Raw genomic sequence first — 12,026 nt, forward strand, 5'->3', positions numbered from 1 at the left:
ATGAGCTCTCTAAAAATGGGCTCATACTTTTCTTCCTGTTTGGCAAAATGCCTTTTCTCCTGAATATATCTTGAATATGTGGGGAAGAAAGCGCTCTCCTCCTCATCCCTCCTCCACCTCAGTTCCTCCACAAGAAAGGGAAGCTGACGGGAGCCAGAATCCAGATCCCAATAGGGCCACATTTCCTAATGGGCAAGGTAGCTGTGTGTTAGAGGATCTCTCTCACACACACACACACACACACACACATAAACACACATGCACACATATACACACATGCATGTACATGCACACATATAGATACATAGACACACACATGTGCACAGTCACACACACACAGAAGCACTCATGCACACACACACACATACACACACACAGCACAGTGTGGCTCTGTCCTCTCCTGCCCAGGGCTGCCCCTCGGACCGGTCTTGTTCTGCCTGCCCTCGCCCTCACACGGGATGTGTCTCTCACACCTGGTGCTCTCATCCGTGGCCTCTGCAGTCTGGCTGTGGGTGGACCTGACCCTGAGAGCAGGAACGAGCCCTGCTGCAGCCTGGAGTCCCAGCCCTGCCTTCTGGTTGCTCTTCAGAGCACCTGCCGTGGCTGGCTCAGCCCAGACCCAGCCAAGAAGACTCCGTGCACACTGCCTGGGTCTTCCTGGTCACTGGCACGCACCCTCCTGGGGCCCTGAGTGCCCGGCCCAAGCCACCTGAGAAACCTCAACCACCGTGTCTCACAGGGTTCCCCTCACACAATGTCCCTGTGGGAAACTGCACGGCACCCTGTGACGATGCAGCCACCCTCACTCATAGACAAGGGACAGCTCCCAGCTGTCCCCATTTAGTACAAACAATACTGTGAGCAACACCTGCATATCCATGGTTGTTTCCAGAAGACAAAGCCCATTCCAGCAGAAGAAGGGCCAGGCTGAGGCCTCAGAGCCAGTGTAGACTAGCAGGGCCAGGGCAGCCAGAGCCCGGGATGAGGAGAGTTGAGGAGACTGGTGCAGAGAGGCCGGGCGATGCAGTCCCCATGGCCTGGGGAAGACTAGCACACTTCTGGAATCTTCTTCACGTGCAGGAAGAGCCTCTGAAAGTTTCTAAAATGATGAGTATGGCCATGTGGGGAGAGATTTTAGGAGGACTTCCCGGCCTCACTCATCCCTCCAGTTACTCCCAGTCTCCTCCTGAGACAGGCAGCTGTGCAATGCCAGCCTTGCTGGGTCAGAACCACAAACTACCCTTCCATTCTTCCCTGGGAGTTCCTGCCTCAGAGAAGCGTGCAGGCTCCCCGTGGGCAGGGCCAGATCTCCTGTGTCCACCCATGCCCAGCACAGGGCAGGGTGCAACCCTCGTAGCACCGAGCAGGTCAGGGGGTCCTTGGCTACATCTGTGTACCCAGGCCCAAGCCTTCCCCCTTCCTCCCGCCAGCCGCTCTTGGGGGGGCTTCCCAGGCTCTAAAAGGAGGAGGAGACACAGAACAGCCGGAAGCCCAACAGAGGAAATGCTGTGAGAAGAAGGGGGATGAGGCGCCAGTGCTGGAGTCTGGCAGCTGAGCGGCATCATCACCAAGAACACGGGGACAGGAAGGGGCGCCACAGCCGGGCCTCACCCCAGAACCTGAAGGGATGGTGCAGGGATGGCCCTCCCCTAGAGGACACAGAGCATGACACAACCTGCTGAGGGGCAGAAGGCAAAACGGGGAGACCAGATGGGTCCCCAGCAGGACCACTGTGCTGAGGGTCTGACTCCACTTGGTGATGTTTGCGGACAGCTTTGATTGCTCCCCGCACCTGGGCAAGCTGTAGCAGAAACCTGGCACTGGTGGGAGACTCGAACCACAGCAGCCCCTGCCCACGTGGGAACTCTCACCCCTCGTGGGGTCTGTGTCAGGCAGAGGGCGAGGGCATCACCAACCCTGACATCAGAATCACATCAGGTGAGGATCCCTCGTGCTTCTGCAGGTGACCATAGCAACCACCCACTGACCTAGGCAAGCTGGACTCTGCCCTGCATGCCCACCTGGCAGGGAGCCCATGCTTTGGAGTCTCCTTCCTCGAAATTGTCAAAGTCCCCTATCAGTGCCCAGGACTAGGCAGGGTACCCCGAGAACAGACCAGGGTCCCAGTCCCCATTTCTCTCCTTTTGGGCATTCTCTCCCTTGATCTTCCACCTGGAGCTCAGGACCAACTTGATGCTCCAAGAAGCCCTGAGACTTGCTGCAGTGGGGTCATCCGGGGACCCCATGGCTGGGCCCTGCCCTGCTGACTCTTCCCTCTGGCCAGCATGGGACATTGGTCATGGGAGATGCCTCCCAAGAGCTTTTTGAAGAGTCAACACATCCTTATTTAGCACTTACTATCTATAAGCACTAATGCTGCACACGAAGTTATTATGTAATTACGTAAATTGCCTTCGAAACGTAACTTTCATTAAACTTTTTATTTTAAGATAATTATAGATTCAAGTGCAGTTGTAAGAAATAATATAGAGAGATCCATGGACCCTTTACTCAGTTTCCCCCAGTGGTAGCATCTTGCAGAACTGTAGTGCGATATAACAAACAGGATATTGACATGGGTACAGCCAGGATACAGAACATTCTGCCTCCACAGAGTCCCTCCCGCAACCCTTTCATAGCCACACCCACTTCTCGCCCCTGCCCACCCCTCTTTAACACCTGGCAGTCACTGATTTGTTCTCCATTTCTAGAATTTTGTTACTGATACGGTTTGGCTCTGTGTCCCCACCCAAATCTCATCTCAAATTGTAATCCTGATAATCCCCACGTGTCGAGGGAGGGACCTGGTAGGAGGTAATTGGATCATGGAGGTGGTTTCCCCCATGCTGCTCTAGTGATACTGAGTGAGTGCTCATGAGATCTGATGGTTTTGTAAGTGTTTGACAGTTCCTCCTTCACATGCTCTCTTCTCTCTCCTGCCGACTTGTGAAGAAGGTGCTTGCTTCCCGTTCACTTTCCATCATGATTGTAAGTTTCCTGAGGCTTCCCCAGCCAGATGGAACTGCAAGTCAATTAAACCTCTTTCCTTTACAAATTACCCAGTCTCCAGTATTTCTTTACAACAGTGTGAAAACAGACTAATACAATTACATAAATGGAATCATACAGCATGTTTCTTTTGTACAGATGTTTTGTACAGATGTTTCTTTTGTGTCCTTCAACCTTGCTGAACTCATTTACTAGTTCTAGGAGACTTTTTTTAGATTCCTTGGAATATTCTACATAGATGATATCATTTGGAAACAGGAATAGCTACATTTATTTCTTTCCAATCTGTATGTCTTTTCATTCCTTTTCTTACCTTATAGCCCTGGCTAGAATTTCCAGCACTAAGCTGAATAAAAGGGGTGAGAGTGAGCATCCTTGCTTTGTTTCTTTCGGGGCTGGCTTTCTTCATTCCATGATATTCTCTGGAAATTCATGCGGGTTGCCACGCACATCAATAGTTTTATTGCTGAGTAGTATTCCATGGTTTGGGTGTGCTACAGTTTGCTAAACCATAGACTGTTCAAGGATGTCTAGGTGTTTTCAGTTTCTATTACAAATAAAGCTGCTATAAACTTTCGTATGCAGGTTTCTGTGTGAACACAAGTATTCATTTCTCTGGGATAAATGCTCAGGAGTGCAATTGCCAGGTCCTATGGTAATTGAAAGTTTTTTTTTTTTAAGAAACTACTAACATATTTTCTACAATGGCTATAATATTTTATATTCCCTCCAGCAGTGTATGAGGAATTCTGTTTGGACACCTTCTCACCAGCTTTTGTTATAGTCAATTTTTCCCTATTTTAGCCATCCTGACAGATATTTAAGAATATCTTATTATGATTTTAATTTGCATTCCCCTGATGGATAGCCAAATTGAACATCTTTTCATGTGTTTATTTGCCATCTGTATATCTTCCTTGGGGAAATGTCTGTTCATGCCTTTTCACTCATTCATGCCATGTTCTAGTTGAATGACTTGCTTTTTTACTATTGAATTTTGAGCATTCTTTATATATTCTAGATACTACTCCTTTGTCAAATACGTGGTTTGCAAATATTCTTTCCCACTCTGTAATTTATATTTTCAGCTTCTTAACTGGGTCTTTTGCTGAGAAAAAGTTTTTATTTTGATGAAGCCCAACTAGTCCATTTTTCCTTTTATGGATTATGCTTCTTGAAACAAAGTCTAAGAGCTCTTTGCCTGGCCCTATATCTCAAAGCTTTTGTCCTAGGTTTTTTCCTAAGTTTCATAGTTTACATCTAGGTTCATGATCCATTTTTAGCTAATTTTTGCATAAGGTGTGAGATTTTGTTCAAGGTTCAACTTGTTTGCCTTATGAATGGCTAATTGCTCTGGCACCATTTGCTGAAAGGCTATCTTTTACCCATTGAATTGCTTTTGTACATTTGCCAAATCCGTTGGGCATATTTGTGCAAGTCTGTGTCTGGGTTATCGATCTGTATGTCTTTCCTTCACCACTGCAACACAATGTTGATCATGACAGCGATATAATAAGTCTTGAAATCATATAGATTGACTCCTTCCACTTTATTCTTCTTTTTCAAATTTGTTTTAGCTATTCAAGTCCTCTTGTCTTTCCAAATAAATTTTAGAATAGTCTTGTTCATATTTACAAAAAAAAAATCTTGCTGAGATTTTGATAGGAATTGGGTTAAACTAGTGCATCAATTTAGGGGAAAATGACATCTTTACTATGTTGAGCCTTCCAGTAAATGAACAAAATATATTTCTCCATGTATTTAGATCTTCTTTTATTTCTTTGATCAGAATTATGTACTAGTAAACATGCGATCCTGGCAGGGCTTGGTGGCTCATGCCTGTAATCCCAGCACTTTGGGAGGCTGAGGCAGAAGGATCACTTGGGGCCAAAAGTTCAAGACTAGCCTAGGCAACATAGCAAGACCCTGCCTCTATAAAAAAATTAAAAATTAGCCAGGTATAGTGTAACGGAGCTGTAGTCCCAGCTACTAGGGAAGATGAGGTATGAGGATCCCTTGAGCCCAAGTGGTCAAAGTTGCAGTGAGCCATGATCAGAGCACTGCACTCCAGCCTAGGTGACAGAGAGAGACCCTGCCTCAAAAAAATAAATAAAATAAATAAATAAACATACAATCCTATACACATTTTGTTACACTTATAACAAAATATTTCATTTTTAAGCAGTTGTAAATAGCATAGTGTTTTTAATTTTGGTGTCCATGTATTCATTGCTAGTATATTGAAGTACAATTGGTTTTTTGATGTTTCTTTTGTATCCTGCAAACTTGATGAACCCATTTACTAGTTCTAGGATATTTTTTGTAGATTCCTTGCAATAGTCTACAGAGATGATATCATTTGCAGTGATAGCTTCATTTCTTCCTTTGCAATCTCTATGTCTTTTAATTACTTTTAATTATGTCTGTATATCTTTTAATTATGTCTTTTAATTACTTTTCTTACCTTATAGCCCTGGCTAGAATTTCCAGTGCTCAGTTGAGTAAGCGGTGAGTGGACATCCTTGCCTTCTTCCTGATCTCACAGGGACAGCATTGTCTTTCACCATTAGATGTGAGGTTAGCTACGGGTTTTTTGCAGATGACCTTTGTCAAATTGGGAAAATTCCACACCATTCTTATTTTTCAGAGTTTTTCTCATTAATGGGTGCAAAATTTCCTGCTCAATGTCACCTCATCAGAGGAGCTTCTCCCGCCTACCCTCTCTAAGTTAGCCCACACCGTCCCTCCCTGATACGGTTCAGCTGTGTCCCCACCCAAATCTCATCTTGAATTGTAGTTCCCATAATTCCCACGTGTTGTGGGAGGGATATGGTGGGAGGCAATTTAATCATGGGGGCAGTTATCTCCATGCTGTTCTTGTGATAGTGAGTGAGCTCTCATGAGATCTGATGGTTTTGCAAGGGGCTTTTCCCCCTTTTGCCTGGCACTTCTCCTTCCTGCTGGCATGTAAAGAAGGACGTGTTTGCTTCCCCCTTCCACCATGATTGTGAGTTTCCTGAGGCCTCCCCAACCATGCAGAACTGTAAGTCAATTATACCTCTTTTCTTTGTAAATTATCCAGTCTCAGATATTTCTTCATAGCGTGAGAATGGACTAATACGCTCCCTGACTCTGCCTGATGTTTCTCACTCTGTCCAGGGACAACAGAAAGCAGCACAGGCATTCCACACTTGCAGCTGGGGCAGAAATGGACCTCACCCAGCCAAGGGGAAATGAGGCCAGCTGCACACGCACACCCTCCATCCCAGGCAAAGACTAACATACAAAACACAGGGAAGGCCGAGCCAGAAGACACAGCTCAGACTCAGACCAATCTACACTTCTTCCTCCTTCCCCCTGCTCTGAATCGTGGCCTCAGCCCCCTCACAGGAGGACTGGGCCAATGGGTAGCCAATGCCCAGCCCAAGGAGGGAAACTGGAGGCCCACTGAGCAGGAGGACGGCCCAGATGGGGCAGCCACACTCCAGGTTATGGTGGCTGCTGGGCCACTTCTGTAGAAGAGGCTTGGAGGAGGGATAGAAAAGGTGCTTCCCCCAAGAAGAGGAGGGCAGGAGGGTCAATGTCCTTTGCTCTGTCCCCACCAGCCCCTGCAGCCCACCCTCCAGCTGCTTAAGCCCGGTGCTTGGGGAGTGGGGAGTCAAGTATTATTCTCCGGTGTTTTGCTGTGCTTTGTCTGTTTGCAGGGGAGAGAGGGTTGGGATTTACTTTTTATTAGATCCCCACTTTGCGTTATAAACGTGCATATTATAAAAATCAGAAAACGCAGAAAAAGGGAAAAAAGCACTGATCATTCTAAAGCCCTGATAAAAATATAAAGTAAACTGAGTAATAGAAAGTGCAGAACACAGAAGAAGGGAGAAAACTCAGAAGCTGACCTGGGCTGAAGCAGACGCTTCCTGCATTCCAGCTTGAGGCATTTCCTCGCCCGAGCAGCCGCTGCAAGGCAGGGGCTGGAGTTCAGCCCATTTCCTGATGCCTTTGCTGTTGACCCCTAACCCCCTCATGCCCTCACACCCACCCTCACCCCTGGGCGGCTACTAATCTCCTCCCTGTCTCTGCAGATTTGTCTCTGCTGGACATTTCCTATAGATGGACTCAGCCCATACGAGGTGCCCTGTGACTGCACGGCATCATTTCTGTGCCTCGGTGCAGGCAGATGGCACATTCTGCTCGCAACAAAAGCTGCCTCTTTAGGTCCCTCTTGCATATAAAATCTACCATCCTTCCACAGATAAACCCAATACTAGGCCGTACCCAGACTTCTGAAATTAATAAATCCAGAGACTCCTAGAGACCACAAGTGGGACTGTTGGCGCGCAGACAGGCCATCTGAGGTCAGGGCTGGTCCCACTAGGACAGGGTTCCTCCACTGTGCACCCTGGGGGTGAGAGCCCTTCGTGGTGGGGCCATCTCATGTGCTGTGGGATGGTTCCCCGCACCCTGGGCTCCACCCTCGGAGGCAGAAGCGAGAGTGCTCTGTAGAGAGGAAGCAGAGCACCCTATGGGCTCAGACCGCCTGGGTGCGAATCTGGGCTCTGCCTCTGAGCTGCTGAGTCCCCTGTGCATGGTGCACAGACTCAGTTTTCCCATCTCTAAAATGGGGCTTCTGCTTCCCAGGAGTGTCGTGTGGGTCGGATGTGAAAATGAATAGGAAGCACTTGCCAATTTATATGTTTGGCGAAGGATCCAGCATGCGCTCGCTCCTCCCCAGAAGTCAGCTCTGTTATCATTCTCAGTCTTGCCTGAGGGGCTCACATTTCTAACCATGCTCCTGCCTAGGACCAGAGCAAAGTGGGCTCACTACTGGCTCAGATGCTCATTGAGACCTCTGCCAGCCCTGAGAGCCCAAGACCCCTGACCATCCCCCACCCTGGAAACAGCCGTCTGCAGACTAAACTCTGCCCCACCTCTGGCAACGGGACCTGACCCTTTCAGCACAAGTACATTCAATTAGAGGAAGAAGCTCCCACGGTGGCGTGGTGGAGCAGCTGTGCCATTTAACAAGCCACACCACCCCCTGGCAGCAGCCCTCCAGGACGACTTCCAGCCAAATGTGTGCTTATTTTTTCAAATGGCAAATAAATGGGTCAGAAGCCAATGAAGGGAGCCAGGAGCTGCCTCTGGAGGTAAGTTCCAAAGGATAAAGTTAGAGGTTCCATTAAAGAAGATTTAATGAGTTTGAAAGAGATCAGAAACAGGACAAACTCAGGGTGTAAATCAAATATTAATCATTGTAAAGGCGAGCCTCACTAAGACATAAATCAATAGCACAGGCAGACTGGCAAACATCTGCCTCTCAAAAGCGCTTCCAGAAATCTGGGGCTGAAATGTCAGGGGAACAGGAAGCTGGAGGAAGCAGAGTCTACCTGGGCCAGGAGGTGACAGAGGCGTCCATGTGGACTGCCAGGCTATCCCTGGGAGCTTATCTTCCCCAGCGTGCTGGGCTGGGAACTCAGGAGGAGGCTCTGCCCTACTGCCAGCTCCCAGGAGGTTCTTCCACTTCATCTTTCATTCTGCGGATGAGCCCTCTCCCCCAGGCCGGGCCCAGTCCTAGGCAAAGATGGGCACCATCCCTGGCCCTCAGTCCCACAGCCTGTGTCACTGCACTCGTGTGCTGCCAGGAAACTGAGGCTCAGAGATGCAAGTTAGCAGGGGAGGCGGGAGTTCAGCCAGGGCCCTTGGGTTCAAACCTCCCCTCCTCCCGGGTCCCCGGCTGCCCCAACCCTCCCCAGGGCAGCCCTCCCACAAGCCAGGGAGGTGTGGGCAGCATGTATGCACAGGGCAGTGGGTGGGGCACCTCCTCCCAACCAGTCAGCCCTGTCCTGGCCCCAGCTGTCAGCACCCCCCTCCTTGCCCTGTCCACTGCCCTGACCAGGACACCAAGCCCATTACCCCCTAGGAGAGGGCCTGGCCCACCTTGAGCAGGATGGGAGCAGGGGTCACAGGGCCCACTCACCTCGCCTCAGTGCTGACTGCTTCTGGGCAACCACCCAAAGGTTCTCATCTGCCCACACCTGGCCCCTCTACCCACTTGTGCCCCCCTGCCAACACCTGCCCCCTCTGCCCATACCTGCCGCTTCTTCCCGCACCTGCCGCCTCTTCCCGCACCTGCCACCTCTGCCCAAACTTGCTATCTCTGCCCGTACCTGCCCCCTGCCAGCACCTGCCTATCGGGGGAAATTCACCCCCGATATTTCACATAGTTCCTTTTCTATTTTCCCTAAGTGTCGGCCAGTCTGAGAAATAAAGGGACAGAGTACAAAAGAGAGAAATTTTAAAGCTGGGCATCCGGGGGAGACATCACATGTCGGCAGGTTCCGTGATGCCCCACAAGCCGCAAAACCAGCAAGTTTTTATTAGTGATTTTCAAAAGGGGAGGGAGTGCACGGATACGGTGTGGGTCACAGGGATCACATGCTTCAAGGGCGACAAAAGATCACAAGGCAGAAGGTCAGGGCGAAACTAGAATCCACTAATGAACTTCCATGTCCCGCTGTGCACGCATTGTCAGGGTTCAAGAGCAGAAAACAGGTCTGACTAGAATTTGCCAGGCTGGAATTTCCTAATCCTAGCAAGCCTGGGGGCGCTGCCGGAGACTAGGGCATGTTTCATCCCTATCTACATCTGCATAAGGCAGACACCCCCAGAGCGGCCATTTCAGAGGCCCCACCCTGGGAATGCATTCTTTTCCCAGGGCTGTTAATTATTAATATTCCTCACTGGGGAAAGAATTCAGCGATATTTCTCTTACCCGTTTTCAGTAATAAGAGAAATATGGCTCTGTCCCACCCAGCCCACAGGCAGCCAGACTTTAAGGTTACCTCCCTTGTTCCCTGAACATCGCTCTTACCCTGTTCTTTTTTCAAGATGCCCAGATTTCAAATTGTTTAAACAATTTGTGCAGTTAATGCAATCATCACAGGGTCCTAAGGTGACATACGTCCTCAGCTTATGAAAATGACGGAATTAAGAGGTTAAAGCAAAGACAGGCATAGGAAATCACAAGAGTATTGACTGGGGAAGTGATAAGTGTCCATGAAATCTTCACAATTTATATTCAGAGATTGCAGTAAAGACAGGCGTAAGAAATTATAAAAGTATTAATTTGGGGAACTAATAAATGTCCATGAAATCTTCACAATTTATGTTCTTCTGCCACGGCTTCAGCCCATCCCTCCGTTCGGGGTCCCTGACTTCCCGCAACACCTGCCACCTCTGCCAGCACCTGCCACCTCTGCCCACACCTGCCACCTCTGCCCACACCTCTGCCCAGGGCTTTCTCTGGCCACTCCAGGGTCAAGCGGGATGTGCCAGTGCATTGACACCCCCAGGACCAGCACCCTCATCCCTGGGCTGGCGTCCTGGTCTCTGGGGGCTACCGCAGCAAGTCACCACAACTGGGTGGCTGAAAACAACAGAAACTGAGTAGCTCGCAGCTCTGGAGGCCAGAAGTCAGAAATCAATGTGTCGGCTGGCCAGGCTCCCTCTGCAGGCACTAGGGAAGGATGCTTCCCGGCTTCCTCCGGGCTCCTGCAGCTCCAGACATTCCTCAGCTTGTGGCAACAACACTCCAATCTCTGCCTTCTTCACATGGCCATCTTCCCTCCATGACTGTATCTCCTTTCCTGTTCTTGAAAAGACACCAGTCATTGGACCACGGCCCACCCTAACCCAGTATGCCCTTGTCTTAACTCGATCACGTCGGCAAAGACTCTGTTTCCAAATGAGGTCCCATTCCCAGGCACCGAGTGTGAGGACTTCAGCATATGTTTCAGGGGGACACATTTCAACCCCAATAACGCAGTACCTCTGAGGTGCGTTCCAGTTGGAGTGGACCTTGGACCAACAGCACCTGCATTGCTCCAGGGGTCTCAGGCCACCCCAGACCTGCAGAGCCAGAATCTGCACTGGTCCCGGGGGCTTCAGGACACTGCTCTACACCATGCCGCTGTCGTCCCCAGAGGGACTGAGCCCTGATGGCCTCAACTCATCACACCCCTCATCGTCTCCTTCCAGGCCCTGTCTCATGCCCCTGTTCCCATAGATGAATCCTGGAATCAGCTTCTGCATCAGTGTTCCTGTTCACAGTGTTGTCTCAGTGTCAGCTCTTGGGAAACCCAACCTGAGATGGGGTGTAGGCCCAGAGCTGCCTGTTCAGAGCACCTGGTCCTCTCCAGAAACAATGACCCATGGTTGCCGGCTCACCCGGGACAGCAAACACTAGGGTCGTTCATTGATTTACTGCGTCCAAGCAGGCTCAATGGATGGAAGAGAAGGTCGAGAGACAGGGTTTCATCTGGGGGAAGCTCCCTTCAAGCCCCAGCACTGAGACTGCCTTCAGGGACAGACACACGGGGCTTGGTGTAGAAGAGACCAGGCAAAGGAACAAGCGTTTGGCATCAGCTACAAGAGAGCCATTTACCCCCCAGCCCACCGCCCTGGGCCACTGTCCAAACCAGCTCCACCTCCCCGGCCCTCCCCACAGCCTGGTTAAGAGGAGGAGGGGACCCCAGGCTAGATGGAAGCAGAGGTGAGTGGGCCCCCCAACAAAGTGGTCACCAGTCCCTCATCTGCCTCCCGCTGCCTGACGCAGCTCCATCCTGATTCTGAAGGACATTTTTGGAGATGAGATCACTTTTGCCGACCTTGGCTTTGAGCCTTTCCAGGCCAAGGAACAAATGCAGCGGCCTCTGATCTTTTCCAAGTGGCTCAGAGTTCACCACACGGAGACGAGATTTGCAACTTGGTTGCTTTCTTCAGAACATGCCTCTGGCCTTTTGTAAAACTTCCCAAAGAACAGGCTGACCTGGATGTTCCAAGCCTCTCTCTGTTCCCCTCAAACAAGAAAATCACTTCTAAAGGGGAAGGAGAAGTCTGAGGCTCTCTACAAAATATTTTCTATCTGAACTAATTTTATGGTGGTCCAGCCCATTTCCAACTTTCAAAAGCTTCATAGAAATTGTTCTGGGAATGAGTTTAAATGCCCAGAGAGGCAA

General features: G+C 49.8%; 5 annotated features.

Annotated features, from left to right (window-relative positions):
• Positions 9,170-9,817: an enhancer, noted in NCBI's record as "OCT4-NANOG-H3K27ac-H3K4me1 hESC enhancer chr1:5826901-5827548 (GRCh37/hg19 assembly coordinates)". NCBI's record gives its function as "activates a minimal SCP1, AML or CMV promoter by ChIP-STARR-seq in naive H9 embryonic stem cells {active_cell/tissue: H9 hESC(naive)}" and the evidence as "EXISTENCE:reporter gene assay evidence [ECO:0000049][PMID:30033119]".
• Positions 9,818-10,465: an enhancer, noted in NCBI's record as "H3K27ac-H3K4me1 hESC enhancer chr1:5827549-5828196 (GRCh37/hg19 assembly coordinates)". NCBI's record gives its function as "activates a minimal SCP1, AML or CMV promoter by ChIP-STARR-seq in primed H9 embryonic stem cells {active_cell/tissue: H9 hESC(primed)}" and the evidence as "EXISTENCE:reporter gene assay evidence [ECO:0000049][PMID:30033119]".
• Positions 9,818-11,113: a biological region, named in NCBI's record as "H3K27ac-H3K4me1 hESC enhancers GRCh37_chr1:5827549-5828196 and GRCh37_chr1:5828197-5828844".
• Positions 10,338-10,632: a silencer, noted in NCBI's record as "tiled region #8508; K562 Repressive non-DNase unmatched - State 20:ReprD". NCBI's record gives its function as "represses a minimal TATA promoter and a strong SV40 promoter by Sharpr-MPRA in K562 cells {active_cell/tissue: K562}" and the evidence as "EXISTENCE:reporter gene assay evidence [ECO:0000049][PMID:27701403]".
• Positions 10,466-11,113: an enhancer, noted in NCBI's record as "H3K27ac-H3K4me1 hESC enhancer chr1:5828197-5828844 (GRCh37/hg19 assembly coordinates)". NCBI's record gives its function as "activates a minimal SCP1, AML or CMV promoter by ChIP-STARR-seq in primed H9 embryonic stem cells {active_cell/tissue: H9 hESC(primed)}" and the evidence as "EXISTENCE:reporter gene assay evidence [ECO:0000049][PMID:30033119]".

The sequence above is a fragment of the Homo sapiens genome, chromosome 1 (assembly GCF_000001405.40).
Source record: "Homo sapiens chromosome 1, GRCh38.p14 Primary Assembly".
Classification (NCBI taxonomy): Eukaryota; Metazoa; Chordata; class Mammalia; order Primates; family Hominidae; genus Homo; species Homo sapiens.